The following is a 16,425-nucleotide window of genomic DNA, read 5'->3' as shown; positions in this document are numbered from 1 at the left end:
TACGCTCACTGCCCAGGGACCCTGACAAACCTCCACAATGTGGGGCTGAACAAGGGCGCTTAAGGTTCACTGATCTGTGTGTAGAACTTTGCAAAACTGCAAATAAGCGAGAAAATTTGGCTATTCTTGTGACGGGAGATACAAGTTTGCACTTAACATGGAAGCTTGAGAAAAAGAAGGGGAAAAACCCTTCTGGCCCAAAGCCCCACTGTAATCTCCAGAACAATTTCATTTCCTCTGCAGCACCCTGGCTACCCTCGCCCAGGCCTCAGAAAGGTCAGGGGGAGAAGGAGCTTAAAAGCAGGGGCGGGGACGCAGAGGGGTGGCTAGGCCCTTGGCCAGGTAGCAGGTGAGGGCCGGCTGGGTGATGCGAGGGGCCAGGATGGAAGGCCGCAGGACGGGGGAGGGGCAGAGCCACGGCTTTTGGAAGGGCTTGGTGTTTTCTAGAGGGCTTTTTCTTAGGAATTTGCACGGTCCGCCTCTGGGGCGGCTTATTGGGGCTCTCCCCCGCCCCTGCTAGCAGAACAGGTCGCAGGGAGCTCAGGTTTCCGCCGAAGCCTCCAGCCGCCAGGCCGCCAGCACTCCGCCGGCCTCTGCCAACAGGCCTTTCCCGCTTGCTGAGAAAGGGAAAAGCGCGCGCCCCGGGCCCTGCAGGCTGAGATCACGTTTTTGCCGAGCGACTCCGGTACTCCCGGGGAAGCCAAACTGCCCCCTAGCAGCTGCGTCAACCTCGCCCGGCTGCGCGGCCCGGAGAGCGTGTTCCCCGGAAGGGGCTCCCGCAAGCGGCAGCCGAGATCCCCAGTGGTTGCGCGGCTGCCGGGAACCCGCGGGTCTCAGAGAGAAGCAGGCCGCGGGAAGCATTACCTCTCCCCTCCAAAGGGGAACTTGGAACTTTTGAACCCTTTAAAGTGATTGATCATGCTCCACCAGAGAGCGGCTCCACCCCCGCCGCCTTCCCTTGTCACCTCGGCTCTAAGTGTGCGTGGAGGTCGCGCGCGGCGCGCGGGGTCGTGCATTTGGCGCTCTGTGCTGCCAACGTGAGCACCCAGCACCTGAGCGGCTGTCGCGATTTTGGAGGAATCCCGATCTGAGAGCCCAGAACTGGGACATTGGTGCGTGCCTCCTTGCCCACAGCCCTCTAGGTGCAACACGCCAGCGACAATTTTTCCCAGGAAATCCGTCCCTGCGCCCCGGCCCCCCTCCAAGGATGTCCTCGCAGGAGCCGGGCTCCGCACTGGGAGGCTTCAGGGAACGGAGCACTGGGGCTCAAAGCCTCCACGAGTTAAGCTGATTATTAATTTGGGCTGGTGGGAGCCAGTAACACGCTCGACGCCTTTGGCTTTGGGAATTGTCCGGGAGCTGGGACGGAGGCAGGAATGACCCAGGGTTGCGACTGGGAAATGCGAGTTGCGGAGGCTCCCGGACGTAGCTGAGTGGGCTGGGTAGAACTCCCAGGGCAAAGGTTGGCTCTTCCTCGCCCCCAAATAAATTCTTAGTTAACTAGTTTAGACTAAACACATTAATAGTATTAAGTGGTGAAAATAGACAGGGTTGAACGTGGGGGCATGTCAACTGGACCCAGACCTGGTCATACTTCTCCTCTGGTGACAAATCAGGGTGCTTCCAACACGAAAACAGAAAATAGAAATGTAACATTCAACTGGACGAATTAATTTTTGACGGATTTACGGTATGATTTCCTTTCAAGCAGTATTCATTGGTTCTTTCCATCCACAGTGCGGTCCAAAGACAGAAATATAAACAAGCACTTTATGCTTTGCGGAAACCCCTTAACAGTATCTCCCAAAGAAAGATCAAGACACTTTGTGAATTTTCCCCAGATAATGCCTCATATTCCGAATGACTGATCAGAGAACTCCGGTATTGTTAAATAAAATGAGAGGAAGGCGAGTGACGTGGGAGTCGAACAATGGCATTTCTGAATCTGTTTGCTTGATTGACATTTGGGAGCTTCATGACCCCAGAGAATAGGACTCATTACGGTGAATACACCAAAACATCAACCAAGATTAGAACTCTAGATGCTGTTTTAATCCCATTCCAGTCCAAATTATAGTGGGAAAATATAAAATCCAAGTGCAGAGAATCACTCCGTTATATATTGACCTAAAGTTTTAATTGTACTAAGGGGGAAATAAAAGTGGAAACCCTCTATACTTTCCAGAATTTTAGATAGAGCACTGACAGGGAAAATGCATGGATTTGGTAGCGGAGGTACTAAGAATATTTGTGTGGTATACAACATGTCATACTTGGGAGACACTTTATTGGAAAAATAAGTAGAGAGTTTTTTGTATGTATGAGAAAAATATCATAACCATTTCCACTTAAAAAGTGAAGATCATTCTGATGCCCCAAAATAACTGAGGCTAAGAAATAATTAGATACCTTAAAGCTACAGTCTAAATTTCCATGACTGTTTGGAAGACTTCTCTCCAACGCGGGAGGGGAATTTGTTTTTTAATGTCAAAGGTTGTGTTAGCATGTACATTTAACCCAGGAAATTGTGAGAACTCTCTTCAACTCAAGTTGGAAAAAGGGAATGTGTTTGAGCAAAGTCTATTTTTAACAACAGAAAAGTGTGAGTTAAAGTGGACTGTGTGTTAGGTTGGGAATATAATCCATGGCAACTTCACTATACAAGTATTTTTGATTCTTCAGTGGAACTCATCCTCAAATTTTAGTAACTTGAAAAATTGAAGTCTTAAGTATTGTGTATTAAACTGAACCAAGAGATCACAGAAAGACAAAGCTATGGTAAAAGATGTTATAGTTATATTCTCATAGATTTAGTAGGAAAATCACAGCAAAGGAAATGCACCAGGAAGATATGAAATAGAGGAAATATGTTACAAATAATGAAATAGAAGGAGTTGCTGCACAATATAGCTTCACAATCTTATATTTTGAGGGGTAGGTTTTAATGAGAAGCCTCTGCATTGCATGGGAACTGGGAGTCGTAAGAATTATTTATGCAGTAAGAAGGAAAAAAATTAATTATTAGGAGCTCAATAATCACCAAATAAACTCTGAGCTTGGAGGTTAAAAATAGACGGCTATCTTCATGTTCAATTATACAGTATCAATTACTAATACAACTGATGTTTCAGTGTCTCAGCGAGAACAGATACCATCTTCTATGGAGATATCTTGGTATTAATTAATGACTGCTTTATTCTCATTATTCACAAGGAAAAATAGGGGTCGTGTCACATTAAAATTAAGATTATCTTAGTTTATCTGGGCTCTTAAACAAAGATCATTCAAAGTAATTATACTTTGAATTAATCGAGGTAGGCAATTTATCTCGTTATTTTTTTTTGTTCAAAGACAGGAAAATAAAGATCAGAAATAAGCAAAGTTTCATTTTGAAGATAGAAAGAACCAAACAAACATGTCTTGACTTTTGCAGTATTTCCCTTGCTAAAGGGGGAATGAGGGAACTGTAAAAGACGTGACTTTGCAAAGTCAAGTCCTTTTTAAAAGACTCGGATCGAAATTCTTGCTATGCAACAAGGATTCAAGTTTGATTAATTTTCTGCAAGCGACGTGACAGCGGTGTTTTAAAAGATTAATTAAAATTGAAGTGATACGGAGCAGGAATTCAACCTGCAGAGGCGTCCCTGGCGCCTTGGGGGGCTTTGTAAGCGAGTCCCAAGCCCGAACTGCGGGCTTTCCCGAGCCTGGGACGCAACTCCCCGTCTCCTGGAGAGGAACGCGGAATTTGGCAGGGCGCCCGCCTGGCCGCCTGGCATCCTGAGCTGGCCGCCAGCTCTCGGGGGGTGGGGACTGGGTGTGTCCTGGGGAACCCGCTGCCGAGAGAGCAGCTAGCGCAGCTCGCGACGAGCCATTGAGGACCAGGGTCGCGCCGAGAGGCCGGAGGGGGCTCCAGGCAGCCTGGAGCTGACGGCGCCGGGCTGCGTCCTCTTCACCTGGGGGTGGGGGGTGGGGGCACGTACTTTGTGACCAGGATGGTGCCGAGCCCCCTCTACGGCGGGAGCTTGCAGGGGTGCGGGGGTGTGACTGGCGCTCCGCGGACTCGTGTCCACAGTACAGAGGACATGTAGGGTTCGGCCGGGGCGCGGCTGCACCGGGGCCTGCCTCGCGGACCTGGACTCGGGACTCCGGGCGGCCCTGCCTGGTGCCATTGCCTCAGCCAAGTCTCCCACCTCTCTGCTCGGTTTCCCGCCCCACCTTTCCCCTACTACCGCATCCCTGTCCCCTCGCTTCCCTCCGCGATGTCTCCATCCGAGTAAGAAACGAAGCTGAACGCATTGGTAACTGTGCTCAAGAAGATGCAATCGCGGGAGCCCTCAGGGTGGCGCACGGCGGAGAGGCGACGCGGGTGGCGCTGCAGAGGGTACGGTGGGGGGCGGGGAAGAGGGGGGCGTTCGTGTGCAATTAGCCTCCCCAGGGCGCGGACCACGGTGTCCCCTTCTCTCCAGCTGGGGGTCTCGGGTCCTGGCGCTGAGAGGCCGCACCTTGCCTTGCTGCCCGGGCCGTGCACCCGTGGGCCCCAGGGCGACGCGGCGGGGGCGGCCCTAGCGACCTGCGGCGGCGCCGGGAAAGCCCTGCCTCTGCAGCGGGTCCCAGGGGTCGGGGCCTGGAAGGGTCCCTGGGAATGCTCCGCGCCGAGAAGGCTCTGTGGTTTCTCCTCCCCCACACGTCTCCCTCTCCTCCCCTCTTCCCGGGGACCTCAGAGGTGGCGGGGAAGTGGGAAGGGAGGCGGGCTTGCAGACCGTGCAGGCTGGGGAGCCGGAGCTCGGGAGTTGGGGGAGTCCGAGTGAGAACGGAAGCGCGTGGACGCGATGGAAGGGGCCGGGGGAAAGGGGGACGGCACTGGGGAGGGCTGGGGTGCGGGGCAGGCGACAGTCCCTTCCCCTCCGAGCGGCGCGGGGGACCTCTTCCCCGGGGAACCCCCACCCAGCCGTTCCCAACCTCGAGAACAAAGGGTCTGGGAAGCACGGTCGGGGTCGGGGAGCGGAGGTGGAGGGAGGCAGGAAGGCAGGCGGTGGGGGCAGGGGAGGGCGCCTCCCCACGTTTCCTCTCGCGGCCGAATGATGGAAAGCTCCCTCCAGCAAACGCCTCACTGAGGCCGCTTCTGAATCCGGGAGGGTTCGGGTTCGTTACCTAACGGCTGCACTTCGCTCCCTTCCTCCCCCAGCGTCCCCACCCCCTCCGGGGACCGGGGCCCCGGAGCTGCCAGGCCCGCTGCACGCGGCGGCGCGGGAGAAACCACGGGGCAGCAGCGCCCCCTGCAGGTGCCGGGCGCCTCCGCAGCCGCTGCGCGGACCCGACTCTTAAGGTGGCACCACCGGGTTCCCAGCCCGCGCGCAACCCGCAGCCCTGGCTCCATCCGCCGCACTTCTCCCTGTAGCGGCGGGCCTGACCGTCCGGAACGGCCGGAGTGTGCTGATGCCTGCTGCTATCTGCTTGATCCCTTCACCCTACCTCTCATCCAGGACTTCTTCCGCGGATGCGCAGCTAGCGATTTCGACAGGCGAGATTGAAAATTCCGGGCGAGTATATGAGGTTGAGTAAGTCCCGCTTCAGGGAGGAACGACCAGAATGACATTTCTTTAAGCCTAAATCAAACTTTTATTTTCGTTTATAAAAAGCAGAAGGCCAGCAGGAAAGGGTCGCGGAGGACTGGCACATCCACAACCGTAGGACTCTTGGATCCAAGTTTTTAGGCTGAGACTGGGCGGTCCGGGGTTCTCCTTCGGCGCTCACACCCCGCAAACTCGTGGGCAGTGCAGTGCTGGAGGCCGGGGGCAGTGGCGGACCCGCAGGGTAACCTTGTCTCGCGCACCTCCCGAGCCCCCAGCAGCCCACTCTCGTCCGAATGCTTTGTTTATTTGGTGACACCAGGGAACGTGGAGAAGAAGATCGAAGTTCAGTTTTTCTTTTTTCTTTATTTTAAATATTTTTCTTAACTAAATGGTATGTTTATGTGAACCCATCATCTCTTGGAATTAAGTGTCCTCAGCGAACTCCAGATTCCTAGGGGAAACCTACGTGCCCAGAGCAGGAAACGCACAAGTCAATTCAGGTTCCGGTGCCATCCGCAGTAAATTCCCTTCCTTTTGCTCCAAATTCCTCCTCTGCGTCCAGGAGAGGGACCCCCGGGACTCCCGCACACCCAGGACCGGGAGCGGCAGAGCAGAGGGCGGGTGCGAGGGCGCGAGGGAAGGGAGGCGGCCTGCGGACCTGGGGCGCGCAGTTTCCCGGCTCCGTGGGAACCTCCAACCCCGGGGCGCGCGGCCTAGGCTCCGCCCTGCCAGGCTTGGGGCCGAGCGGCCCACCTAGTGGGTCCTGACCTGGGGAAGCCGAGTCCGCGCGCGGGTCGGGCCGCGACGAGGGAAGCTCGCCTGGGCAAGTGCCGCGCGGGGTCAGACCCACCCCAGGGGTTGCAAACCGCAAGCGAAAGTCGAGAGGGGCTGGAGCTTTCCCTCTGATCCGTTTTACACTGTGAAAACCGCAGGCCTGTCGCCTAGGCGGCCACTTTTAAATTGGGAAGCAAATAGACGAAAAACCAAAACAAACGTACGAGCTGACTTTTCCCAGCTAAGTTTCCCCTCAATAAAAAGCCCGCTTTCTGGGAAAGACAGAAACTGATCCGCGCTCACGATTGCTTTCTTGGAGATTCTGGGGGCACTGGGGCGCGCAGGAGGCGCGGCGACAACCCCAGCGCGCATGGGGCAGCCTGGACTGTGCCCCTCTTACCAAGCTCCTTCCCAGGCTTCTCCGTGCTTCTCTCTCCACTGGGGTCCCGCCTCTCCACGGGTCACGCCGAGGCTATATGCTGCTTGCAAGGGGTCCGCGCTTTCTCGTTCGGCGGGAAAGGCACATGTTGGAGCTCGATGTTGGGGCTCAGGGTGTGGTTGATTTGTCTGCTGATCTGGGTTTCTTCCCAGCACCGGGCAGGAAGTGTAGGAGTTTGGGTCGCCAGTCCAGGGACTCGGGAAACTTCCAGGCCAACCAGAAGAAACACTTGCAGACACCTTTCGAATGTCACAGTTTTCCCCAGGGGAAAAAGCAGAAGTTGCTGGGCACATCACCCAGCACCCGGGCAAACTCTCCACTTACCTCGCGCCCTGCTAGGGGGTGTTGGGGGCCCTCCGGGAACCCCTAGATGAGCAAGCAAAGTTGCAAGAAGTGGGGTGGGGAACGCTCACCCGATAAACCATGCACCAAACTTAATCAGCCTGTAATGCTTACTCTAAATCTAGGCCCATCTAGGCCAGGTGGGCTGAGTCTTGGGATAGTGGGTGTCTCCTTCCTATGTTGATACATTAAGGATTCCATATGGACAATTATTTTTAGTCAAATTTGTGGTCCTGGAGATAGAAAGAGGAGAAGAAGAGAGAAGAAAGACAGAAGAGCTTTATTGTTCTTTTTTTTTTTTTTTTTTTTTTGAGATGGAGTCTCGCCCTGTTGTCCAGGCTGGAGTACAGTGGCGCCATCTTGGCTAACTGCAACCTCCACCTCCCCGGTTCAAGCAATTCTCCTACCTCAGCCTCCTGAGTAGCTGGGACTACAGGCAGCCGCCACCATGACCAGCTAATTTTTTTTTTTACTTTTAGTAGAGATGGGGTTTCACCATGTTAGCCAGGATGGTCTCGAACTCCTGACCTTGTGATCCGCCCACCTCAGCCTCCCTAGGTGCTGGGATTACAGGCGTGAGCAACCACCCGGCCTTATTGTTCTTATATTAAAACAAAAGAACCTAGAAAAAATTGCTTGGTTAAATTGTAGAGAGGAAGGGAGGGAAGGAAAATGAAGGCTTTTCTTCTTTGTTCTTTAAAAGTCCAAGCACTTTCTTTCAGAATCAAAATGTAGAGAGGCAGTCAGTCTTGGAGCATGCTTTTGCATTTTAGGATACTACTCATTAATTCAGTTTTAAAGCATTCACTGGGTTGAGCACAATTTTAAAAAGGTTCTGACTCACCCAGATCCTGTTTGAAGCTCAACTCATTTTGATTGAAAGAGATTTGAGACAAGAATTTCAGAAGAGAAAAATGTGTGTTACACCTGGACATATATACACATGTAACAGGGATTGTATTCCTTCTAGTCTAAGACAAGAGATTCTATGGTAAATTATTTAAAAAAATTAGTTTTTTTTCTAGCATTGTATTGTCACCAGAAAGAAGAGTGCTGAATTCTCTGTTTCTGCATTTCCCAATAATAAATCTCCTAGGAGAGATAACTTTTTGCAGTTGTGCCCCCCACCCATTTTCTCTGTGGCTTGCTTTATTTCCCACATATGAATACACACACAGCAGATACATCATGCACAAACTTTTTTTAATGTGTAATCTGTAAATCTAGGCCCATTAAGTTTTCATTGAAGTTGGGAAACTGTTGAGGACTTACTTTTGTTCTTCACCATGCGTGCACTTTGCCAAGGATCTTTGGTAACCAATAAAACGATCATGTTCACTCTGAATGTATTTCTTTGTGATTAAATGGAAAAGAGTATTCATGAACTGCTTAAACAGTATTTTTATACCAAAACATCAACGCATAATGAAAAATGAGCTATAGTTGTTCCAAATGTTCAGAATAGCAGCTTTGCATTTACAGTCATATTTTGGCAAAACTATTTCATATTAATTGAAAATGATACAACAGTGCATGCATTCTGTGGAGGGATGCTTATTCACTTAGCTGCACCATGAAAAATTTAAACTATCTGGTTCGAATGACCTGCAATGCCTACTGAAGGAAGGGTTGGAAAATTAGGAACTATGAAATTATTTGTGTGTTTTTTTGGCCTTTTCATGAAGCTTGAATTAAATCTAGTTTTTGTGAAAAATAAAACTAAAGCAATATAAGAATCCCTTAAGTTGGTCTTATAAAATCATATGGTTTTTTTTTTTTTTTTGAGATGGAATTTCACTCTGTCACCCAGGCTGGAGTGCAGTGGCACAATCTTGGCTCACTGCAACCTCTGCCTCCTGGGTTCAAGGGATTCTTCTGCCTCAGCTTCCTGAGTAGCTGGGACTACAGGCACTCGCCACCACACCCGGCTAATTTTTTTGTGTTTTTAGTAGAGACGGGTTTTCACCATATTGGCCAGGCTGGTCTTGAATTCCTGATCTCGTGATCCACCCGCCTCGGCTTCCCAAAGTGCTAGGATTACAGGCATGCGCCACCGCGCCCAGCCATATGTGATTATTATAAAAAATCTGTACCTTAAAGATATGTTAGTGAAACTAGATGGATACAAATATAACTATTACCTTTTTTTTTCCCAGTGATTTTTCTCTCTCAAATGTAAGATATGTAGGACTCCAGAACATGCACTGTAATTTGTTCTGATAATAGGAAAACCAATGCTGGTTTTCTCAGTGTCATAGTTATCAAGGGGCAATGCCAAAATCATTAGATAAGCATCATCCTTTCTATCACATCATTGTCTACATGAAATTTCATCTTAGAAAATATGCAAGAATATTATATTTGTTTCCAAAGCTTGAAAATGCAATAGAATTTGAAGTATTGAAAATATGATTCCTGGTTGACAACATCTTAGAAGTTGCAGAGGTGTCTCTTTTTGAGACGACTTTAATAATGACTGACTTTAATAATGTTACAAAGCAAGGGAGGATTTCAATAGCAAGCAAGATGTGATGAATGGGCATGAGGAACAGTGAAGCTATTGACGAAACATGCTAACTTTTAGAATTCTATCTAAATTATTTTTTTTCCAGTGCAGAGGAAGACACCCAAGTGTATCAATGTTCATCAGATGCAGGGTAATAAAAATGTGAGTGACAGTTAATGGCCTGTGACTGTAATATGATTGTTAGTGTAGGTGAGTGAATACATTGGTTCCTGTTTAAAGAAGGTCAGTGGTCCACAGTCAAGGTAAGTGAAGTTTGCAGAAAATTGAGGCCCTGAAAGGAAAAGGCTAAAACAAACAAACAAAAACAAAAAAACCCACCACCACCACCAACAGAATAACTGCCCATGACTAGTATTTTAAAATAATAATAAAACAATTTCAGTAATTAAAAAATCATTTGTTTTCTGTTTTAGATTTGACTTGAGTCAGTTGTTCCTGCTAGCTATTTAGATGAAATATATGGAATATCACTTAATAGGCAGAAGCGCTGATACAATTTCCTCTTAAAGGATCTGATTCCTGGCATCCAAAGGAAACTGGAATTCAAGTTCGTATTAGAACTTGAATTTGTTCTGCCAGAGTGAAAATTGGTTCCATTAGGCCTCAGTCACAGAATTCTTACAGACCTGGCTAGAGCTGTAGATATGATATATCCAACTAGCTGAAAATCATAGTCTTAAGTAATGCTGCATGTGCTTTGGAAAACCATCCAGAGGGTTTTAATTTTTTTTTTTTGAATGAAAATTTCCTAATTTTACAGTTGTCATAAATCTGGAACAAGTCTAATTAAGGTCATCAAGGCAAGTGAAAATCTAATGAGCAAACTTTGGAAATAACATGATGAGAATAATTTAAATGTGAAATATTAAATTGTGGCAATGTTTAGCAAGGATTCTTTCCTTAACATTTTTCTTATTCATTTGCCCATACTTCCCTCTCTTTGCAGATTTATAGTGCTCTTGGGGAGGCTCCTGGAAGAAGTGATATATCAGACAGACATACTATTCAAAAGCTTAAAACTTAGCATCTGACTATGTAAGTAAAAATAGAAAAAACAATGACCACAAAAAAGCAAAATCAACTTTACTTAGATGAACAATTCGGCCCAATATATTAAGGAGAATGGGAAAAATACGCATGTCATCTAAAAGTTCGTAATTTATTCTATACAGGAGGATTTCAAATAAATTTGATTCATAATACACATATACATTTATGTACATCAACATAATGACCTTCCATAAATTAAGTAAATTGATTGGAAATCAATCAATGTATTGATCGTGGTATGTTCTTTATATGAAAATATTCAATAGCTTCATGAAATAATTGATTACACATTTTAAGAATTTTAAAATTTCTGGGTGGGGCACACTGGCTTATGCCTGTAATCCCAGCACTTTGGGAGGCTAAGGCAAGAGAATTGCTTAAGCCCAGGAGTTTGAGGCTGCAGTGAGCTATGATTGTGCCACTATACTCCAGCCTGGGCTACAGAGCAAAACATAGTATCTTAAAAAACAAAAAGGTAAAATTTCTAGTGAGAAATAGAAAAAATTTCTGTGAGACACAGAATATTTGACTTAATTGAAAAATTAAAATAAATTTAAATTCTCCATAATTTTTCATAGAATTATGTTTTCTATTTTCCTTTTTAATGGAAGATTTGTCAACTTACTATTTTGGTGTCAATTTTCCTTGTATGTGTTTTATTTCCTTGCGAGCAAATGTTATTAGTTAATAGTAGCAGATACAGCAATCATAAAATCTCAGAGGTAATGTTCTGGCATAGGCAGTAATTCAAATTAGAACTATTTATGGACAATTCAGAAAGCTTACTTACTTTAGTTAATTCTTTTCTTATTCTGTATTCATCTTGTTGCACCAGATTTTTAGCTTCTTTTGTCTACAACATAAGATCTCAGTATTTTTAGGATGTAAAATAAATGCTCTCTTTAACAATTTTTGTAACTTGGAACTTAAACGTAGCCTATTCTAGTTATTTAATAAATAGCTAAAAGTAGATGAAGGAAACAGTTTAGGTGGGGCATGCCTGTAAACCCAGCACTTAGGAGGCAGAGTCAGGAGGATTGCTTGAGCCCAGGAGTTTGAAACCAGCCTACGTAACACAGGGAAACCCCCATCTCTACAAAAAATAAAAAATATATATATATTAGCCAGGCGTGGTGGTGCACGCTTGTGGTCCCAGCTATTCACAAGGCTGAGGTGGGAGGATACCTTGAGCCCAGGTGGCTGAGGCTGTGCTGTAGTGAGCCGTGATCACACCACTGCACTCAAGCCAGCCTGGATGACAGACTGAGACCCTGTCTGTCTCCAAAGGAAAAAAAAAAAGGAAGCAGTTTGAATTTTTTTTGCTGATTAAACCAAAAATGGAAGACTATTTTTCAGAATGAATTTAGGTAGTTTTTAGTTGTTACAAAATATCTGCTGACTCCCAAAATCATTGAGTAACAACAACAAAAAAAGCCCCGTGAAAAGTTAATGCCCACCCAGCCACTTAAAAGTAGTTCTGTAGACTTTACCAGCAGCTGCTTGTCAGAGTCCAGTGCTTACCAGTTTTTTTTTTTTCCCTGCTCGATTCAAAGGAGATTGCTTTGCCCCGTGGGAGTCTTGCTCTTCCCAACAAACGTGGAAAAAAAATGCAATAGGCAGTTCCAGGAGTGTTGCCTTTGACAGCATGTCTCAGGGAACTTAATATTCTAGGTGGCAAGTGGCCAAAATAAGTAGGAAACTTAGGTACAAGACTGAAGAAAGTACTGCCATAGCAAACTAGAAAGAGGGAAATAAAGTTTCTATATTAAAAAGAACGAAAAATTACATGGCTGATGATGAGTGAGAATTATGCGTGGTGTGTGTATGTGTAAAGAAAAGGATAAACTTTTGGAGATGTTTATAACAACCTTATAATTTGAGAGAAGCTTTGTTTTTTTGTTTTGTTTTGTTTTTGCAACAAGGTCTCATGGTCACCCAGGCTGCAGTATGATGATGTGGTCATAGCTCATTGTAACCCTGAACTCCTGGGCTCAAATGATCCTCTTGTCTCAGCTTCTGGAGTGGTTAGAACTACAGGCATGAGCCACCACACCTAGTTAATTTTTAAAAATTTACAGCGATGGGGTCTCACTATTTTGCCCATGCTGATCTTGAATTCCTGTCTTCAAGTGATACTCCCACCTCCCAAATGATGAGTATCCCAAGTGATACTCAGCCTCCCAAAGTGCTGGGATTACAAGCATAAACCACAATGCCTGGCCCTGTTTATTTGAATACTGCTTTCCTTAATGCTTTAGAAATCAAAATTGTATCATTAATTATACTTACATTTGTCTGGACTCTAAAAATAATATAATGCCCAACAGTTGTTTTAGCCGCCACAAGTTCCTCCACTTCCAGAATGCATAGCCCTTTGCAATGTGACTTTGCTACTTTTCCCACCCAGAAGTGGAATCTTCTCCATCCCTTGGAATGTGGCCTGGTCTTGCCAGTTGCTTTGGCTTATGGGATATTGCGGAAGTAAGTATGTTGCACAGGTTCTGGAATCTAGACCCCAAGGAGCTTTTGCAGCTTCCATCTTTGTCTTCTAGAAACACCATGCCACAAAGAAGCTTGGGATGAAGGATCACGAGGCGAGAGGAGTCCAGCACCCAGCACACCCACTGGGAGCTACATGCATGAGACCCCACCCAATCAGCAGAACCATACAGCCAACAGAATCATGAGAAATAAGAAGTTGTTGTTGTTCTAAGCCACTAAGCTTTGGAGTGGCTTGTTACACATCAATAGGTATCCATGCTTGCAACTACTACAATCATCTAAAGTTGAGAGAGGCCGGGCCCGATGGCTCACTCCTGTAATCCCAGCACTTTGAGAGGCTTAGGCGGGCAGATCACTTGAGGTCAGGAGTTCGAGACCAGCCAACATGATGAAACCCTGTCTTTACTAAAAATACAAAAACAAGCCAAGCGTGGTGGCTTGTACCTGTAATCCCAGCTACTCAGGAGGCTGAGGTGGGAGAATCGCTTGAACCTAGGAGGTGAAGGTTGCAGAGTGCCGAGATTGTGCCACTGCACTCCAGCCTCAAAAAATGTTGAGAGAGATTTTGTTGATATAGCAAGAGTATAAATTGTGCCGGGACGGTGGCTCATGCCTATAATCCCAGCACTTTGGGAGACTGAAGCAGGAGGATCACTTGAGGTCAGGAGTTTGAGACCAGCCTGGCCAACATGGTGAAACCCTATCTCTACTAAAAATACAAAAATTAGCTGGGCATAGTGGCACATGCCCAGCTACTCGGGAGGCTGAGGTAGGAGAATCGCTTGAACCCGAGAGGTGGAGGTTGTGGTGAGCCAAGATCACACCATTGCACTCCAGCCTGGGCAACAAGAGCAAAACTCTGTCTTAAAAAAAAAAAAAAAGTATAAATTGGGACCAAACTAAACAGCTTCAGTTAAGATCCTGTTAGCATATGTGAAGCTACCACAGGCCCAAGTTTGTTATCTGTGATTGTTATTGTGACGTGAGATTTTCTTTTTTTTTAAATTTCTTTCTTTCTTTCTTTCTTTCTTTTTGAGACGGAGCCTCGCTCTGTTGCCAGGCTGGAGTGCAGTGGCTCAGTCTTGGCTCACCACAAACTCTGCCTCCCGGGTCCAAGCGATTCTCCTGCCTCAGCCTCCTGAGTAGCTGGGATTATAGGCATGCACTGCCATGCCTGGCTAATTTTGTATTTTTAGTAGAGATGGGGTTTCTCCATGTTGGTCAGGCTGGTCTTGAACTCCTGACCTCAGGTTATCCACCCACCTCAGCCTCCCAAAATGCTGGAATTACAGGCGTGAGCCACTGCGCCTGGCCTTCATTCAAGAATAATTTACTGAATGTTTTTTAAATTTCATTTTATGTGCCTGGCATTGTTCTGGGCATTGGACATGCAGTTGTGAATAAACCCTTGAATCTCTGCTTCTGTGTGATATACATGCTGGTAGAGGGCTTCTGAGTGCAAATAAACAAATACACCAAATCAAATAGATATAAGTGCTGTGAAAAAAGAACAGTAATGTAATACGAATGCTGAAAGACATGGAGGGTGCCTTAGAGTAGATCAGGGAAGGCCCCTTGAGATGATGTTTGGCAGATATGGGTTTAAGTCCTAGTGCTGCCACCTTTTTTTTTTTTTTTCTCCCTGGAGACAGGATCCACTTTGTACCCAGAGTGGAGTGCAGTGACACAAATCACAGCTCACTGCAGCCTCAACCTCCAGGCTCAAGCAATCCTACTGCCTCAGCCTCCTGGTAGCTGGGACTACAGGCATGCACCACCATGCCCAGATAATTTTTGTATTTTTTTGTAGGGATGGGGTTTTGCCATGTTGCTCAGGTTAGTCTTGAACCCCTGAGCTCAAGTGATCTGCCTGCCTCAGCTTCCCAAATTTGGTATATAGGCATGGTATATAGTTGGTATTATAGTCATGAGCCGCTGTGCCCAGCGTACAACAATTAAAAAAAAAAGCTATACACAAAGAGTCTTAGCCACATTCATGGTTGATGCATATCAAAAGATAGTGAATTTAGCTAGGAATGGTGGCATGCACCTGTAGTCCCAGCTACTTGGGAGACTGAGGTGGGAGGCTCACTTGAGCTCAGGAGTTTGAGACCAGCCTGGGCAACATAGCAAGGCCCCATCTCTACAAAAATTATTATTTACAAAAAGTATATATATATATCTCCACACCTGGTGGTTTTACTTTTTTGTTTTGTAGACCTCTATATATTTACAGAAACTTCCATAGTAATGAACTACAGAAATGAGCTCTGAAAATACAGTCTTATTTTTTTTGAGGCAGGATTTCACACTCTCTCCCAGACTGGAGTGCAGTAGCGCAATCTCGGATCACTGCAACTTCCTCCACTCAGGCTCAAGCGATTCTTCTGCCTCAGCCTTCCGAGTAGCTGGGATTACAGGCGCGTACGACTACCACCCAGCTAATTTTTGTATTTTTAGTAGAGACAGGGTTTCACCATGTTGGCCAGGCTGGTCTCAAACTCCTGACCTCAAATGATCCACCCGCCTTGGTCTCCCAAAGTGCTGGGATCACAGGCGTGAGCCACTGCGCCAGGCGGAAAATACAGTCTTATAGGGTGGTTTTAGAGTTGTCAAAATGACTGGGAAATGTTACTGGCATTTAGTTGGTGAAGGTGAAGTTTGTTAAGTGTCCAGCAATGCACACAGGCAATCCTGCATAATCAAGGACTATCCAGCTGGGCGTGGTGGCTCACACCTGTAATCCCAGCACTTTGGGAAGCCGAGGTGGGTGGATCACCTGAGGTCGGGAGTTCAAGACCAGCCTAACCAACATGGAGAAACTCCATCTCCACTAAAAATACAAAATTTGTCGGGCGTGGTGGCGCATGCCTGTAATCCCAGCTACTCAGGAGGCTGAGGCAGGAGAATCACTTGAACCTGGGAGGCAGAGGTTGCCGAGATCACGCCATTGCACTCCAGCCTGGGCAACAAGAGTGAAATTCCGACTCAAAAAAAGAAAAAAAGAACTATCCAACCCAATTGCAATAGTGTCTCCACTGAAGAACACTGGAACCATGCCTGAGCTTGCCACACCATCGGGAAGAGCGAAGACCTAAAAGAAACTAATATTGGAAACAGATTGTGAGGACAGAAAGAATAAAAATTTAATGTTAAAAATTAAAAAAGAAATTAATATTTATTGAGTGCTTTATCTGTAGCAGGTGACAGAGTGAGGC

At 46.7% G+C, this 16,425-nt stretch overlaps 1 long non-coding RNA gene, 1 other non-coding gene and 1 pseudogene across 2 annotated transcripts, besides 5 other annotated features; 2 read left to right on the top strand and 1 right to left on the bottom strand.

The window, feature by feature from the left end:
• The first annotated feature begins 3,870 nt into the window (after window positions 1-3,870).
• Window positions 3,871-8,473, top strand: MIR1915HG (MIR1915 host gene). Its single transcript, NR_160800.1, has 2 exons — window positions 3,871-4,381; window positions 5,186-8,473. It is a non-coding gene; the product is annotated as an MIR1915 host gene (long non-coding RNA).
• Window positions 4,391-4,640: a silencer, noted in NCBI's record as "silent region_2188". NCBI's record gives its function as "represses an Ori minimal core promoter by ATAC-STARR-seq in GM12878 lymphoblastoid cells {active_cell/tissue: GM12878}" and the evidence as "EXISTENCE:reporter gene assay evidence [ECO:0000049][PMID:35858748]".
• Window positions 4,490-4,569, top strand: MIR1915 (microRNA 1915). Its single transcript, NR_031736.1, has one exon. It is a non-coding gene; the product is annotated as a microRNA 1915 (primary transcript).
• Window positions 4,851-4,900: a silencer, noted in NCBI's record as "silent region_2187". NCBI's record gives its function as "represses an Ori minimal core promoter by ATAC-STARR-seq in GM12878 lymphoblastoid cells {active_cell/tissue: GM12878}" and the evidence as "EXISTENCE:reporter gene assay evidence [ECO:0000049][PMID:35858748]".
• Window positions 4,951-5,390: a silencer, noted in NCBI's record as "silent region_2186". NCBI's record gives its function as "represses an Ori minimal core promoter by ATAC-STARR-seq in GM12878 lymphoblastoid cells {active_cell/tissue: GM12878}" and the evidence as "EXISTENCE:reporter gene assay evidence [ECO:0000049][PMID:35858748]".
• Window positions 5,815-6,608: an enhancer, noted in NCBI's record as "H3K27ac-H3K4me1 hESC enhancer chr10:21783452-21784245 (GRCh37/hg19 assembly coordinates)". NCBI's record gives its function as "activates a minimal SCP1, AML or CMV promoter by ChIP-STARR-seq in naive H9 embryonic stem cells {active_cell/tissue: H9 hESC(naive)}" and the evidence as "EXISTENCE:reporter gene assay evidence [ECO:0000049][PMID:30033119]".
• Window positions 6,204-6,303: a silencer, noted in NCBI's record as "silent region_2185". NCBI's record gives its function as "represses an Ori minimal core promoter by ATAC-STARR-seq in GM12878 lymphoblastoid cells {active_cell/tissue: GM12878}" and the evidence as "EXISTENCE:reporter gene assay evidence [ECO:0000049][PMID:35858748]".
• A 6,935-nt stretch (window positions 8,474-15,408) lies between the features above and the next one.
• On the bottom strand, window positions 15,409-15,493 carry LOC124902598 (uncharacterized; annotated as a pseudogene).
• Window positions 15,494-16,425: the final 932 nt, after the last annotated feature.

Source organism: Homo sapiens, chromosome 10, assembly GCF_000001405.40.
Source record: "Homo sapiens chromosome 10, GRCh38.p14 Primary Assembly".
Taxonomy (NCBI): domain Eukaryota; kingdom Metazoa; phylum Chordata; class Mammalia; order Primates; family Hominidae; genus Homo; species Homo sapiens.
The sequence above is the reverse complement of the archived record's forward strand: the minus strand, read 5'-3'. Positions and strand labels throughout refer to the sequence as shown.